General features: G+C 45.3%; 1 long non-coding RNA gene across 7 annotated transcripts, besides 1 other annotated feature; it reads right to left on the reverse strand.

The window, feature by feature from the left end:
- Positions 1-404: 404 nt before the first annotated feature.
- Positions 405-16,459, reverse strand: LINC02522 (long intergenic non-protein coding RNA 2522). Of its 7 annotated transcripts, NR_183332.1 has the most exons (6): positions 16,059-16,459; positions 12,834-13,034; positions 8,993-9,086; positions 5,366-6,528; positions 4,722-5,223; positions 405-1,321 (listed from the first exon to the last, which is right to left on the reverse strand). It is a non-coding gene; the product is annotated as a long intergenic non-protein coding RNA 2522 (long non-coding RNA). The 7 variants fall into 7 exon arrangements; NR_183334.1 differs by lacking the exon at positions 12,834-13,034 and having other exon boundaries at positions 408-1,321; positions 4,722-4,873; NR_183336.1 differs by lacking the exon at positions 405-1,321 and having other exon boundaries at positions 4,679-5,223.
- Positions 832-1,338: an enhancer, noted in NCBI's record as "H3K4me1 hESC enhancer chr6:10466572-10467078 (GRCh37/hg19 assembly coordinates)". NCBI's record gives its function as "activates a minimal SCP1, AML or CMV promoter by ChIP-STARR-seq in primed H9 embryonic stem cells {active_cell/tissue: H9 hESC(primed)}" and the evidence as "EXISTENCE:reporter gene assay evidence [ECO:0000049][PMID:30033119]".
- Positions 16,460-17,573: the final 1,114 nt, after the last annotated feature.

The following is a 17,573-nucleotide window of genomic DNA, read 5'->3' on the forward strand; positions in this document are numbered from 1 at the left end:
AGACTTGTGACAATGGAACATAGTAGCTCTGGCACATAGTAGTTGATTAAAAAAATAGTAGCTGCGATTTTTGCACTTGCAATGGTTTATGTTATTCAATTAATCAACCAGGATTGAAAACCAGGTTATCAGGTGGGCCAAGGAAAAGGTCAGAAGAGGTGCCGTCCACAGAGACAAATCTGAGCAGAGGTCTGAATGAGGGGAGGAGGGAGCAGGAGCTGCTTGAGGGGGCTGAGGGGTCTGGAGGTGGGGTGGGGGAGGGGCGATTTAAGGGTGGAAGAGAGCCACAGGCACTGAGGTCGCCTGCTCCACGGCTCCACCTGGTGGAAATCATCCTTGCAGAGCTCAAGCTACAGACAAACCCAAGGAAAAAAGATGTAATACTCAAATATTGCAGCCAATACTTCTGTTATAAATGTTTTTAATGTAGTGGTGTTCTTCTAATTATTACTTGTCTTTCGGAAGTACACATTTAAATGTTTTTGCACCTTTGTTCTTAGATCATTTTGCAGCATCAACTTTTCTCCCTGGGGTTCCTGAGCCCCCTTTTCTCTAGCCTCGGAGGCAGAATATTTGTGGAGTCGAATCAGCCCTGCTCAGTAGTCCAGCAAACTCTTTTCTTTTTAAACTAGTATCTCTGCAAGCAAACTCTTCTTCCACATCCCACAACCCAACTCCTCATCCCCACAAACACAAAGGCACCTCGCACCACACCTTACTGCTGCTTCTCGGCCCCCAGCGCACACTCCCTTTGCTCTGCGACATTGCACCTGGGAGCTCCACAGCTGCGCTTCTGCCTTGCCGGCTGGCTTGGGTTCTATTCTGGCGGAGATTTGAAGGCAGGAGGAGGAGGGCAGGACTGCCTTTTTCTGGTTTGAGCGCTGTCCCTGCAATGGCGCTTCCCCCTCAGCAGCAGCTGGTTCCAGCCTCCGTTTCCCCTCAGCGCTAACGTCATTGCTCCCCCTAAACAGATCAGCAGCAGCCGTGTGCCCTTCTCGGAGGTCTGAGCCCCAGCTTCATAGGGCCATGTATTAGCTTCCTAGGGGCCGCCGTAACCAATGATCAGAGATGGTGTCATTTAAAACAATAGAAATGTATTCGCTCACAGCTCTGGAGGCCAGAAGTCAGAAATCAACATGTTAGCAGGGCCGTGCTCCCTGTGAAGGGTCCAGGGAAGAATCCTTCCTCGCCTCTCCTGGCTTCTGTGGTTGCCAGCAATCTCTGGCGTTCCTTGGCCTGTAGCTGCAATACTCCAAGCTCTCTGCCTCTGTCTTCGCACCATGTCCTTCCCCTTGTGTCTTCTGTGTCTTTCCATGGCCTTCTGATAAGAACACAAGTCACTGGATTTAGGGCACACTCTAATCTAATAGAACATCTTTTTTTTTTTTTTTTTTTTGAGACGGTGTCTCACTCTGTCGTTAGGCTGGAGTGCCCTGGTGCGATCTCGGCTCACTGCAAGCTCCGCCTCCCGCGTTCAAGTGATTCTCCTGCCTCAGCCTCCGGAGTAGCTGGGACTACAGGAGACTACAGGCGCCCGCCAGGCCTGGCTAATTTTTGTATTTTTAGTAGAGACGGGGTTTCACCATGTTGGCCAGGATGGTCTCTATCTCTTGACCTCGTGATCCACCCACCTCGGCCTCCTAAAGTGCTGGGATTAGAAGCGTGAGCCACCGCGCCTGGCCTAGTAGAACATCTTAACCTGATTACATCTGCGAAGACCCTATTTCCAAGTAAGGTCACTTTCAAAGGTTCCAGGTAGATGTCAATTTTTGGAGACTACTCCTCAACCCGTGATTGCCTCCTCCACCAAGTCTCTCAGTTCCAATAACTCCAGACTCTTCTCTTTAAGGGAAGAGTTATTCTAACCCTTAGAATAACTTCTAACCCTTAAGGGAAGAAGTTATTTTATATTAGCATGGTGCTTTATTTCATTTTGTTTGATGTTTGTTTGTTCCGCTCTTCAACACGTGTTACCAATTACCTTTAGTGAATTCCCTCCATTGAAATAACATTATGTGGTTTCTTCTTTCCTGATTCAACCCTGACACAGTGCTTGTTACCGGGAGAGGTTCTAGGAAACAAGACTATCAAAAATGAGAGTCTATAATCCCAGCACTTTGGGAGGCTGAGGCAGGTGGATGGCTTGAGATCAGAGTTCGAGACCAGCTTGGCCAACATGGAGAAACACTGTCTCTACTAAAAACACAAAAATTAGCCGGATGTGGTGGTGCACACCTGCAGACCCAGCTACTCAAGAGGCTGAGGCATGAGAATCGCTTGAACCCTGGAGGTGGAGGTTGCAGTGAGCCATGATCGTGCCACTGCACTCCAGCCTGGGCCACAGAGTGAGACTCTGTCTCCAAAAAAAAAAAAAAATACTGTAACGCAGAGTGACATGTGCCTGTAGTCCTAACTACTCAGGAAGCTGACACAGAAGTATTGCTTGAAGCCAGGAGTTTGAGTCTTGATATGGTTTGGATCTGTGTCCTCACCCAAATCTCATGTTAAATTGTAATCTCCAGTGTTCGAGGTGGGGCCTGGTGGTAGATGATTTCTTCATGGGGACAGTTTCTCATGGTTTAACACCACTGCCCCTTGGTATTGGAAGGTGAGTGATATCTGGTTGTTTAAAAATGCACGGCACCTCCCCACCACCTCTTCCTCTTGCTCCCAGCCATGTGAAGTGTTGGCAACCCTGCTGCCCTCCGCCATGATTGTAAGTTTCCTGAGGCCTCCCCAGAGGCCAAGCAGATGCCAGAATCATGCTTCCTGTACAGCCTGTGGAACCGTGAGCCAATTAAACCCCTCTCTCTCTCTCTCTCTCTCTCTCTATATATATATATATACATATATATATTACCTAATCTCAGGTATTTCCTTCTAGCAATGTGAGAATAGACTAATACAAGGCTGAAGTGCACTATAATCGTGCCTGCAAAGAGCCTCCATCCTGGGCAATATAGCAAAACCCCATCTTTATAAAAAAAAAAAGAGATTCTGGGATTAGCTTGGAAATGCCACTTGCCTTAAAAAGAGTGCTGAGCTCCTTGCAAATGGGACAGTAATGCATGTCATGCCATAGCATTATGATTAATTGCAGTATCACCTCTAGTGATTGTGATGAAATGCCTAATAAAGCAACTATTAGGAGACCAGTTAGCTGCTGCACTTGACCACTTCGTTAGTAATGATTACTACCAGGGCTGTGGACTGTTGTATTAGTTTTTCTTTGCTAGATAATGAAGTACCACACACTTGGCAGCTTAAAACAACACCCACATTGGGCACGGTGGCTCACGCCTGCAATCCCAGCACTTTGGGAGGCCGAGACAGGTGGAGCGCTTGAGATCAGAAGTTCAAGACCAGTCTGGCAAACATGGTGAAACCCTGTCTCTACTAAAAATACAAAAATTAGCAGGGCATGGTGGCGGGCACCTGTAATCCCAGCTACTTGGGAGGCTGAGACAGGAGAATCGTTTGAACCCAGGAGGTGGAGGTTGCACTGAGCCAAAATTGTACCACTGCACTCCAGCCTGGGCGCCTGAGACTCCATCTCAAAACAAACAAAACACCCATTTATCAGTTCACAGTTCTGTAGGTTGTAAATGCAGTATAGTTGTGTCCCCTGCTCAGGGCCCTACGAGGCTAAACTTGAAGTGTGGGCTGGGAGCTGTCATCGGCCACTATCGGCTACCCACATTCCTTGCCACATGGCTGCCTGTCTTCAAAGACAGCAATGGAGAATCTAGTTTGCTTTGAATTTCTCTCATGCTTTAAATCTCTGCCTTCCTCTTTCTCTGACCCATAGACCAGGATTTAGAGGGCTGATATGATTAGGTCAGGCCCACCTGGATGATCTCCCTTTTGATAAACTCATAGTCAACTGATTAGTACCTTTAATTACATCTACAAAATTTTTTTTGTCTCAAAATATAACACAATCATGGTATTAATATCCCATCCTATTCACGGGCTCCACCTACACTTTAGGGGAGAAAATTATACAAGTTCTCTACACCATGGGTGAGAATCTTTGGAACCTTCTTAGAATTCTGCCTACCACAGATGGTGTATTTTGGACTACATTGAAGAGCTTACAGGGGAACAAAAAGATAGGCTTAAAACACTGAACACAGAGAACCAGAGTGTGTCTATGGTACTCCTTAAAAAATTTTGCTATTTTGTGTGGCTGCAAGGTTACCCTCATTGAAAATAAGAACTTGTGTGGGTTGCAGAATTATAACATAAGTTGACTTCGCAGACTTGCCAAGTCTCCTGCCAAGAGCACTGATTGGGAAGGATAGACACATCTGGGTAAACTTAGATAAAGCTAAGAATTTTGAATCCCTGATTCACTGTGTATTTCTTGCCAGGAGAAGCAACGCTTCTTCATATGTGTAAGGAAATTAGCTTTCTCTTGCTTGAAAACCTTATAATGACTTTGAGGCAGTTATCTTGCAAGAGGATGCCTATTCTCCCCAATATCCGCTCCTTCACTCTTCATTGCTTTCAGACTTTTAATGGAGTCAGAGCTCAGCCTATTTCAGAGAGAAAAGTACAACACATGTCCCAGGAAGAGATAATTCATTTTTCAAAAAATTGCAAGCTTTTGCTAACATATCTTGGCAGGAACCTAAAAAATATATGTTGGGATGGATTCTAAAGGTTATAGAACAGATTAACATTGCATTTGGTCAGTTTATTAATGGGGATGCGCTTACTGGGGAATCTGGATTTCATGTGTCCACTCAGGCATCTAGAATTGGCTGTAACAATTTGATGGATTCAGTGGGCAAAACTTGGATTCAACGGTTGCCTATATCCAATAAAGTTAAGTTGTCAGACTTTCCTGGTGTGATGTCAAGGGAAGAATCTAAAAGCAAAAGGGAAAAGGAATGCTGCAGTGGACAGAAATGTTAACCAGGAGCCACCCCCGCCCCAAACTCACACTCTGAGATGGCCCAGAGGATGTTCTCTTCACTCTGTGTTTTGATATGAACCATGAAGTGTCCCAGATATTACCCCACTTGCACAATTATGTATTAGCATACGTGAATATGACAGAAAACACATGGCACCTGGGTCAGGGAAAACTATATTGATAATCTTTCCTTGAAGAGGATCTTGATGTCCGCCTCTACTAGGTCCACCACTGTGCTGCTCAAATCTACTTCATCTACATCTGGGGAGCAGCTCCTCCAGCCTTCCAGTGGGCCTCTCTTCCTGGAGGAAATGTAAAAGTAGATGGCTTAGAAGCACAAGCTACAACACCTGCTGCTGCAGCTGGTCTCAGGGCAATGACTGATACTTTTCATTTTCCTCCCCTAATCCCCAGTCTAGATTCCCCCTCACCTCTGCAGCTTACCTCCTGGCTTATCCAGTGGTGTGACCCTGGTCCTCATTCCCATGGGGTCTGAACTCTGGCCACCATGCCCTTCCCAAAAGTGTTCCTGCACTTGTCTGTCATCACAACTGGCCACGGGAGTACCATGGGTTGCAAAAGTGGATCAGTGGTGCCACACGTCTTCCCTACCCTCATAGTGGAACCACAGCCTTTCTTCTCCTGCTGATCAGGGTCAATTAGCCCTGCCAAGACTGTGACTCTTCTCTTTTATTGCTGGTCCCAATTATAAGAAGCCCAAAATCCCCAGGCAGCAGGCATAGCTGCAATGTAGTGGAGACTTTTGCTGTGTCCCCTGATAAAATTATGCCCCCTTTTGACCAGGATTTCTAGCACTGCAGAAAGAGAGGCTGCAGGGACAGGAAGCAAGACACTTCTGCTTCATCCCTTGGTTCATGACCAATATATTCTTCCTACTGGGGAGCCATCTCCTTATCAATGCTGTGTGATTCAATGTGTATGTGCCATCCTGGAGATGATGTCTCATTCTCATGGAGTGTTGCCTCTAAGCTGGTACTTTAACGGGGCCATCTACAAGTTATTCCAATGCCTTATAAGTCTGTAGCTTCTGGATGATGTGACAGGTGATACAGTCAGTTGACATCATGGTCATAGGCTTGGCTGGTCTGACTCAATCCTGGTGAATCAACATTCCTTCAACCTTCAAATAGTGGTACCAGAGGAGGCTCCATGGCAGGAAAGGTCAACCTATGCCTGCAACACATGCCTATTCCTCTTAGAACAAATCTCTGTCTTCCCAGAATAGAAACAGCCCAGTGTAGTCAACTTGCCACAAAGCCATCAGTTGGTCTTCTTGTGGAATGGTGTCATATCAACAGATCTGCATCGGGCTCCCTTGCTGAAAGTTTTGACATTCCACAGCAGCAGTAGCTAAATCACCCTTGGAAGTTGTTTTTCTGCTCACTCATGTGGCTGCTGTCAGTTGGGAGCTAAGCTGGGATACCTCGGTTCTGCTCCCCATGGCTGTTTTCCCCACATGGTGTCTTGTCCTCCAGGGCCTCCTTCTACAGCAGGATAGCCTTGCAGAATCGGGGCAACAGGTTTGGAAAGAACAAGCCCAATGTGCAAGCACCGATTAAGCCACACTTGCATCATGCTCTGGTGTCCTATTAGCCAAAGCAAGTCACATGAATGAGAATGAGCTTTTCCTCAAAGCATAAGAAACTAGGCCAAAGCAAACAACAAAAGGATCTTAGACAGACAGACACACACACACACACACACACACACACACACACACACACACAGAACTTCTCTTTCTCTCCTTTTATTTATTTACTTGACCACATCATCTGCTAAAACGTTAAAAGCAAATAAGATGCATTTTCCATTTTGTGATTTTAGAAAAATTTACATTATTACAATAGTAGTACATTCTTGCCTGTGAGTGTAGGTGATTGATTGTATGCAATGCAGTTCTGCTCAGAGCATGAAAGAGGCTGCAGGGAATTACAAAAGCAATTTCATTTACAATAGTATCAAAAAGAATAAAATACTTGGAAATAAACTTAACCAAGAAGACAAAAGACTGTACGCTAAAACTTTAAAACATTGCTGAAAGCACTTAAAGAAGACACAAATAAATGGAATGACATCTGTGCTCATGATTGGAAGACTTAGTTTTGTTAAAATGTCAACACTACCCAAAACAATCTTAATGTAATCATTTAGCAAATGATTATGACTATGATTTCATATTTGTTGGGGGCATAAGAAAATCATATGCATTATGATTACATTAAGCAAACAATGTAATCCCTATTAAAAAATCCAATTAAAAATTTATCCTAAAATTTATGTGGACTCTCAAGGGACCCTGGATAGCCAAAATAAGCTTGAGAAAGAAGGACAAAGCTGGAGGCATCACACTTCCTGATTTCAAAATATATTACAAGACGAGAATCGCTTGCCAGGAAGCGCAGGTTGCAGTGAGCTGAGCCTAGATTGTGCCACTGCACTCCAGCCTGGGCAACAGAGCAAGACTGTCTCAAAAAAAATTTTATGTATGTATAAATTTTATGTATACATAAAAATTTTTATACATACATAAAATTTTTTAGACAGTCATATATGGTAACAATAATCAAAACAGTGTGGTACTGGCATAAAAACAGACACATAGACCAATGGAATAGAAGAGAAAGCCCAGAAGTAAACCCTTGCCTATATGATTGAATGACTTTTTACATGGGTGTTGAGACCATTCAATGGAGAAAGGGGTCTTTTCAACAAATAATATTGGGAAAACATGAATGTCCACATGCAGAAGAAGAAAGTGGGACCCTTACCTTACACCGTTTGTAACAATTAACATAAAATAGATCAAAGACCTAAATGTAAGGCCTAAACTATAAAATTTCTAGAAGAAAACATAGAGGGAAAGCTTTACAATGACATTGGATTTGACAATGATTTCTTGGTTGTGTTACCAAGAGCACAAGCCACAAAAATAAAATAGATAAATGTTTTGTTTGTTTGAGACAGGGTCTTGCTCTGTCACCCAGACTGGAGTGCATTGCCATAATTATGGCTCACTGCAGCCTTAACCTGCCAGGCTTAAGCAATCCTCTCATCTCAGCTTGTCGAATAACTGGGATCACAGATGCATGCCACCACACCTGGCTAATTTTTCTGTGTTTTAGTAGAGGCAAGGTTTTGCCATGTTGCCCAGGCTGGTCTCAAACTCTTAGGCTCAAGCAATCCACCCACCTCAACCTCCCAAAGTGCTGGGATTACGGGTGTGAGCCACCAGGCCCAGCCATAAAATAGATAAATTATACTACATTAAACTTAGAAACTTCTCGGCATCAAAGGACACAATCAACAGAGTGAAAAGGCAACCAATGGAATGGGGAAAAAATGTTTGCAAATCATACATCTGATAAGGTGTTAATATCCAGAATACATAAATAGCTCCTACAACTCAACAACAACAAAAACAAAACTATCTGATTTAAAAATGTGCAAAGGAGGTGCAGTGGCTCAAGCTTGTAGTCCCAGCTACTGGGAGGCCAATGTGGGAGGATCACTTGAGCCCAGGAGTTGGAGACCAGCGTAGGCAACACAGCAAGTGATATAGCTTGGCTGTGTCCCTACCCAAATCTCATCTTAAATTGTAGTTCCCATAATTCCCATGTGTCATGAGGGAACCAGTGGGAGGTAACTTAATCATAGAGGCAGGTCTTTCCTGTGCTGTTCTTGTGATAGTGGATATCTCACAAGATGTGATGGTTTTATAAAGGGAAGTTCCCCTGCACACACTTTCTTGCCTGCTGCCATTTAAGATGTGACTTTGCTCCTCCTTTGCCTCCCTAGCAATGTGGAACTGTGAGTCAATTAAACCTTTCTTTTATGAATTACCCAGCTTCAGGTATGTCTTTATGAGCAGTGTGAGAGCAGACTAATACAGCGAGACTCTGACTAAAAAAAAAAAAAAAAAAGAGAGCAGAGGACTTGAATAAATATTTCTCCAAAGAAGATAAACAAATGACCAATAACACATGAAAATATGTTTCCCATCACTAATCACTAGGGAAATGCAAATCCAAATCACAATGAGACACCACTTACTGTGTGTGTCTCCTTTTGTTTTCTTTTTTCCTTGGGCTGCATCTGGGTCCTGGTAATACTCCTTCCATTGCACAACTAATTCAATGTTTGAACTCTGGAAAGGAACACAAGTGGATATAAAAAGTTTAAAATTTGACATTGATAAAATAGTTGGAAATGTGCATGCAGTAGCAGCAGATTCTGGTACACTGCCTCCTGCCCCTGGGCTTGCCTCTAATTTCAGCTGCTGCTATGGTAGACAGTTCCATGAGAGCTCAGCTGCCTGCTTGCCTCAAGCCTATGCTCTACAACTCTGCTTTTCTGCCTTCTCCAAATCATGCGAGCCTCCGAAGTGCACCATGGTGCACCAGATGCATGGAATTAATGCATCTGGTGGCAATCTTCCCATGATAGAGGATGAGAGCCAATGACAAGTGCCCCAGCTCCCAAATGCTGGGAGGAATTCTGTACACTTCTTAGAGGTGCTGGTGGAATCAGCCCCTGTTGCTTAGAGCAGCAACCTGGAGAACGGCCATATAGTTAAGCTCCTTTTACTCTAGAAAAAGATAACAAAAGGTTGAAAGCAATTACCAAGCAATTGAAATCTGAGTATGAATGCCAGAGAACCTCTTTGGAAGTGTACAGAGAAACTCTCTTTTGCATTGGGAGGCCAGAGAAAGCTGAGGACCAGGGCTAAGAATTAATCATCTGAGACCAAAGAAGGTGACACTCCCAACCATGCCAGATCTGCTGTGTCAAGTTCAGGGCCCTGATTGGGGAAGAACAGGACTGTGAAATACAGGATGCAAACATCTGTGTTGATGCCCTACCCCTTGAAATTCTAGTTTCCTCTAGACCCTCCAACCCCACAAATGTGGGCTATCCCTCCATAGCAAGAGCCAGCCCACCCCCGGCCCCATTGCTTGAAGACAATGCAGAGGCCTCTTCCCTTCAAGACACTTGTGCCCTCCACCCAGGATGAGCCCCAGCTTCTTTCCCGGATACTAGTATAGGTTTAAATTCCAGCATCACCCAGCTGAGGTTGCACTGGGCCTTATAAGGGAAGAAAGGGCTTAAACTCAAAGAGAGCTGATGACCCAGCTAACAGGTACCAAAAGTGTCAGGGGGTATGAATAAGACTGGATTCTTGGGGTACTTGGTCAAGGGGGCCAGAACATAAATGTGGATGGGGGAGAGTCTACTGACTGGAGAGCCCTGGCCAAAGATATAGGATTTAACCCCCGAGTAAAGACCCCAGGAGATGGTGTACATTTGGAACTAAGATGACATAGTGAGTTTGGTGCCCTCCACCCCACCCCCTGCAAACCCAAAAGAAATGTCCACATCCTAATCCCTAAAACCTGTGAAGGTGACCTTATTTGGGAAAATGGTCTTTTCAGAATTAAGGATCTTGAGATGAGATCATCCTGGATTATATGGGTGGGCCCTAAATCCAGTGACAAGTGTTTTTATAGGAGACACATAGATAGATAATGGAGAACAGGGGGAAGACCATGTGAAGGCAGAGGCAGAGACTGAAGTGATATGGCCACAAGCCAAGGAATGCTGGAAACCACCAGAAGCTGGAAAAGGCAAGGAACCGATTCTCCCCCTAAAGCCCTGGTGGGAGTGTGGCCCTGATGACACCTTGACCTCTAGGACTGTCAGAGAACAGTTTCTGTTGTTTTTACACCATCCAGTTTGTGGTCATTTGTTACGGCAGCCACAGACGCTAGTACAGATGGCTTTCGGACCATGGAAAAAGAGGATGCCCATGCTAGGTAATGTTAAAATGTCAGAAGTGCCAAGTCAGACAGTGGATTAAGGGATTGTAAGACTCAGGGAGGTGTGTATGATCAGTGAAGTGCCATCCAAGACCAGATCACTTACCAGATATTTATGCTCCACAGGAAGGCTCAGAGAAAACATCCTCCACCAAGACGTAAAGCACCCACATCACTCGGAAGCTCAGTGGTGGCTCTACTCTGCCAGCCTGGGCAGACAGTTGGAAGGGTTCAACAGAGCTGGGCTTACTGATAGCAAGTGGGATGACAAGACCCTAAAATAGGAGAACTACGTGGTGGCACATAATCCTCAGAAGCCAGGTGGAAGCCATGACCGCAATCAGGGAAAAGCTCAGAAAAGCAGCTGAGGGAGCCTGGACCACAGAGAGCTATGGAGATAGTTCATAGAGGACCACATCCCTAGCAGCAAAATACACAGGCAGACAGGGGTGCTTCTCAACCTGTGTCATAGGAAGAAATCCAGGATGGATAATGAGCAGACTAAGGATGGGTGCTCCTACAAAAGTCAGGACCACCTGCCCAGTTTCTGAATATGCGCCAGATTTCAAACCCTGAAGCCCTTGACTGGGAGGAGGGCCAGGTATCTAACAGAAAGACCCTGTAACACCCTGGCAAATGGGCACAGTCATGATTTCCTGAGTCCTTCTGCAAGGGGACCTAAGATCTCACAGAACTGTTCACCAGGGAAGGGGAAATACTCAAGTATTTGAAGTATTTTGGAGGACTGTTAGAACAGGGTCAGAAGTGACATTGATACCCTGAGACCTGCCACAGCATTGCAGCTGCCCGCACTCTGCTTCTGTGGGGCACATGGTGACCAGGTGATCCATGGAGTCCTGTCCATGGCATGGTGGCTCACAGTGGATTCAGTAAGACTACAGGCCCACCGGCAGTCATGGCCTCAGTCCACAAATGTATAACTGGGGTAAATATTCTCAGAAGTTGGCATAGCCTCCCCATTGGGTCTTTGGCCTGTGGGGTGAGGGCATTCCATGGGGAAAGCCAAGTAGAAATTTCTGAAATTGACCCTATCCACTCTGCCAAGATAGCAAACAAAAGAGATATATTGTGTGTACTTCATCTGGGGGGAGGAGGGGACAATGGGAGGATGGAGAAGAGGGCATTATGAGATGCACACAGGGAGACGGAGGGAGATGGCCAAAATTGGTGCTACCCGTAAGAATCGAAAACATGGTGGATTGGTGCTCCTTGTAACATCTACATTTATTTGTTTTGAGTCAGAGTTTCGCTCTGTCACCCAGGGTAGAGTGCAGTGGCATGATCTCGGCTCACAGCAACCTCCACCTCCCAGGTTCAAGCGATTCTCATCCCTCAGCCTCCCAAGTAGCTGAGGCTACAGGCGTGCACCACCATGCCTAGCTAATTTTTGTATTTTTGTAGTAGAGACAGTTTCACCCTGTTGGCCAGGCTGGTCTCGAACTCCTGACCTCAGGTGATCCAACTGCCTTGGCCTCCCAAAGTGCTAGGATTACAGGCATGAGCCACTGTGCCAAGCCATCCATTTCATTAACCAGTCTGGATCATGAGGAATCCTGGTTTGTCTTGGGATAGTAGATTATGCAACTCAACCAAGTAGCAGACCCAAATTGGGCCAGATACGGCACGCTGGCTGGAAGAGATGTGTGCAGGCTCAAGTACATGGTATGCAGCCGTTGATTTTGCATTTGATTTTGATTGTGTTCTTTTCTATCCCCATCAGGAAATATGATCCAAACCAGTTTACATTTTCATTCATTCTTATTATTTTGCAGTTCACAATGCACATTCACAATTTTGTCCCAGGGCTAAGTTAACTCTCATGTCTCTGTCATGATACAATAAAGAGATTTAAACTCTGGGGACCTTGTGCAGAACATCACAATGATCCACTACATAGTAGCCTTTCCTAAGGGTCACTGAGTACCCGATTTACTGACATGGGATCCAGAGTAACAGTGCCTAGGACATTCTAAAGAGAATGAGGTGAGGCAGGGGGCGCATAACCAGGGGACCTGCTGATCCCGACCATACACTTCATCACCCAAAAAGCTACTGACCTGATGGGAGTTGAGATGAACCCCTGGGTTGCCACTATGCCTACAGCTTGGGGATGACACCCCACAGGGCCAGGCACTGTCCTTCAACATGTGGAATGTACTTTGCCCTTTATATGGTTCCAAAGTATTTCAGTGATACTGAATCAGAAACACGGGGCTAGTATCTTCCTCTGTTTCCAGTTTGTAGCTTTTGATGTTGATCTGAAATGACCGCCCAGCAGGAAAGTTAAATGAAGAGCTAGTACATTACATGCAACACAAATCATTGTAATTCACAAGTTAACCTGCAGATGGTGCCATATTATTGCTGTCTCTTTGTTGATCTTTTTAAAAAATTACCTCCCTGACCCCTGTGGGTCCATATCTGGTTGTGACAAACTCATGAGGAAAGACCACAGTCACTGAGTCCCAAAACATTTGGAGTTGAATTTTTACTAACACTGTCTGATGTGCAACCTTCCTTCAAGAAAAAAAAAAGAGATGCTCAGGACAAATAGCTAATGCATGTGGGGCTTAAAACCTAGATGGCGGGTCGATAGTTGCAGCAAAACACCATGGCGCACATATACCTATGTAGCAAACCTGCACGTTCTGTACATGTACCCCGGAACTTAAAGTTAAAAAATGGAAAATAAAGCTTAAAAAAAATTGCTATCTAGCCCTTCACAGAAAAAGGCTGACTCCTGCTTTAGGAGAAAGCACAAAAAAGGAGGTAAAAATAAACAGTGCAATCAGACTTCTGTTGGACCCTGAGAGTTTAATTATGGAAGGTGAAGGGGGAAAAAAACAGAAGAGGAAAAGAGAGCTAAGTGGAAAAAGTCTTTGAAAATTTAGTAGGGCCAGGTGCGGTGGCTCACGCCTGTGATCCCAGCACTTTGGGAGGCTGAGGCGGGTAGATCACCTGAGGCCAGGAGTTCGAGACCAGCCTGGCCGACATGGTGAAACCCTGCCTCTACTAAAAATAAAAAAATTAGCCGGCTGTGGTGGTGTGTGCCTGTAGTCCCAGCTACTCAGGAGGCTGAGGCAGGAGAATCTCTTGAACCTGGGAGGTGGAGGTTGCAGTGAGCCAAGATCATCTGGCCACTGCACTCCAGCCTGGGCGACAGAGCGAGATTCCGTCTCAACAACAACAAAAATCTGAAATCCAAAATGCTCCAAAATCTGAACTTTTTGAGCACCAACACGATGCCACAAGTAGAATATTCCACATGTGAGAACCCTAATACAAACTGTTTCATCACAGATTTAAAATGTTATATAAAATTACCCTCAGGCTATGTGTATAAGGTACATATGAAAAGCTAAGACCAATTTTTGTGTTTAGAATTGGGTCCCATTCCCCATGATATCTTACTATGTATTTGCAAATATTTAAAAATTTGAAAAAATCTGAAATTCAAAACACTTTTGGTTCCAACCATTTCAGATAAGGGATACTTAACCTGTAGTACAAAAATGCACTTTATAAATTTTTTTCTTCAATTTTTAAGTTCAAGGGTACACGTGTAGGAGGTGCAGGTTACCTAGGTAGACGAATGCCATGGTGGTTTGCTACACAGATCATCCCATCACCTAGGTATTAAGCCCAGCATCCATTAACCATTCTTCCTGATGTTCCCCCTCCCCCTACACCCGATAGGTGCCCATTGTGTGTTACTTTCCCCCATGTGTCCATGTGTTCTCATCAATCAGCTCCCACTTAAAAGTGAGAACACGCAGTGTTTGATTTTCTGTTTCTGTGTTGGTTTGCTGAGGATAATGGCTTCCAACTCCATCCATGTCCCTGCAGAGGACATGATCTCATTCCTTTTTATGGCTGCATACTATTCCATAGTGTACATGCACCATATTTTTCAGTCTATTATTGATGGGTCTATCAGTCTATCATTTGGGTTGATTCCATGTCTTTGCTATTGTGAATAGTGCTGTAATGAACACACATGCATATGTATCTTTATAATAGAATGATTCATATTCCTTTGGGTATATACCCAGTAATGGGATTGCTGGGTCAAATGGTATTTCTGCCTCTAGCTCTTTGAGGAATTGCCACACCGTCTTCCACAGTGGTTGAACTAATTTACACTCCCACCAACAGTGTCAAAGCATTTCTTTTTCTCTGCAACCTCGCCAGCGTCTGTTGTTTTTTGACTTTTTAACAATAGCCACTCTGACTGAGAGGAGATGGTATCTCATTGTGGTTTTGATTTGCATTTCTTTAACAATAGTGATGTTGAGCTTCCTTTCATGTTTCTTGGCCCGATGTACGTCTTCTTTTGAGAAGTGTACTTTACAGATTGAAGACTCTCTAAACTTGAAAACTTTTCATTTAAAAATTTTTATACTTTTTTTTTTTAAGACAGGGAGTCTCACTCTCTCGCCCAGGCTGGAGTGCAGTGGCTCGATCTGGACTCACTGCAAGCTCCACCTCCTAAGTTCACGCCATTCTCCTGCCTCAGCCTCCCCAGTAGCTGGGACTACAGGTGCCTGCTGCCACGCCCAGCTAATTTTTTGTATTTTTAGTATAGACAGGTTTCACCGTATTAGCCAGAACGGTCTCCATCTCCTGACCTCGTGATCTGCCCACCTCGGCCTCCCAAAGTGCTGGGATTACAGGCATGAGCCACCACGCCCAGCCAAAGTTTTTTATAGTTTTTATAAGTGACCCCACTTCCACCAACCCTCTCTTTTGGACGCTGGAATCAGCTTTGGAGATTTGTGTTTGCACCCAGACTTCATTCCTTACTAGCTTGGCGCCCTGCACTAGAAACCTCCATCTCTATTCTGTAAAAGTGAAGCAATAATGCCAATCTAATTGATGGAATGAGGAATAAGCTAATCCATTCAGGCAGTTTACTTAGCAATTGTAGGAAATTAAAGCTTTTTCTCTCCTCTTGTCTCCTTTACACTAAAACAGGGTGGACTGGGCACAATTTAACCCCTCCTGAATAACACGGATGTTTTTGAGATGAGTAACTATTGCTTTTTTTTTTCCCCTGAGGTGTGGAAAAGCAGAGAAGCAGAGAAGTAGAGAAGCTTCAGAAATTGCTTTGTGAAGTTGAATGTGGATGTAAATAGGCAGCAGTTGCTGCCTCCTCCTTTCCCAAGGCTCAGCTCCCATTTCTAGTAGTTTAATTTAGAATCCAAGAAACCCTGGACCTGTGCCTTCCCTCTAAATGACAAGGAGTAATAGAAGATGAGGATAACAAGGTAAAGGTAGCTTACCTTTGCAATTCCAGCACTTTTGAGAAGCACAAAAATTACTTGAGAGCCATGACTTCAAAACCAACCCGGGGAACAGAATAACACCTGCTCACTCCCAAAAACGTAAAATGTAGCCTGACAGAGCGTCCAGACTTGGTGCGTTCGTCTCACAGACTTCACTCAGCAGATCTTTGTGGTGAGTGTTACAGCTTTTAAGAATATGTATGTGGAGATTTCTATTCCCCTCTCCCGACTTACTTATTCTTTGTTAAGTTTAATGACCTGCCTGGCCTACAGACATAAACCTACGAACCTTCATAATAAGCACTACAAAACAAAGAAAATACAAACCTAAACTGCAACAAAAATCTATTGCAAAAAACAAACACTTCCACACCACACAAAAAGTACTGCAGCTGGTTACCAGTACTGGCTCCCGCAGCCTGCTATTATACTCTTATCTGGCCCCACCCACATCCTGCTGATAGGTCCATTTTACAGAAAGCTGATTGGTCTGTTTTACAGAGAGCTGATTGGTCTGTTTTACAGAGAGCTGATTGGTCTGTTTCACAGAGAGCTGATTTGTCCATTTTGACAGGGTGCTGTTTGGTGCATGTACAATCCCTGAGCTAGACACATAGTGCTGATTGGTGTATTTGCAATCCTCTAGCTAGACATAAAAGTTCTCCAAGTCCTCCCCAGATTAACTAGACACAGAGCACTGATTGGTGCGCTTACAAACCTTGAGCTAGACACAGGGTGCTGATTGGTGCATTTACAACCTTTAGCTAGACACAAAAGTTCTCCAAGTTCCCACTAGATGAGCTAAACACAGAGCGCTGATTGGTGCATTTACAAACCTTGAGCTAGGTACAGGGTGCTGATGGGTGTGTTTACAAACTTGAGCTAGACACCGAGCGCTGATTAGTGCATTTATAATCGTTTAGCTAGACAGAAAAGTTCTCCAAATCTCCACCAGATTAGCTAGATACAGAGTGCTGATTGGTGCACCCATGAACCCCAAGGTAGACAGAGTGCTGATTGGCACATATACAATCCTCCGGCTAGACATAAAAGTTCTCCGAGTCCCAACTCTACTGAGGAAGCCAGCTGGCTTCACCTAGTGAATCCACCATCAGGGCCGTGGGCGGAGCTGCCCTCCAGTCCGGCGGTGTGCGCCCACACTCCTCAGCCCTTGGGCAGTTAATGAGACCGGGTGCCGGCGGAGGAGGGGGGCGCCCGTTAGGGGAGGCTTGGGCCGCCTGGGAGTCCACTGCGGGGGACTCGGGCGTGGCGGGCTGCAGGTCCCAAGCCCTGCCCCGCGGGAGGTGGCTGAAGCCCGGAGAGAATTCGAGCGCGGCGAGAGCGGGCCAGCGGTGCTGGGGGACCCGGCGCCCCCTCTGCAGCTGCTGGCCTGGGTGCTAAACCCCTCACTGCCTGGGGCCGGCAGCGCTGACGGCCCCTCCCAGTGCGGAACCCGCGCCCGCTGGGAACTCGCACTGGCCCGCGAGCGCCGTGAGCAGCCCCGGTTCCCGC

The sequence above is a fragment of the Homo sapiens genome, chromosome 6, assembly GCF_000001405.40.
Source record: "Homo sapiens chromosome 6, GRCh38.p14 Primary Assembly".
In the NCBI taxonomy this organism is placed as follows: domain Eukaryota; kingdom Metazoa; phylum Chordata; class Mammalia; order Primates; family Hominidae; genus Homo; species Homo sapiens.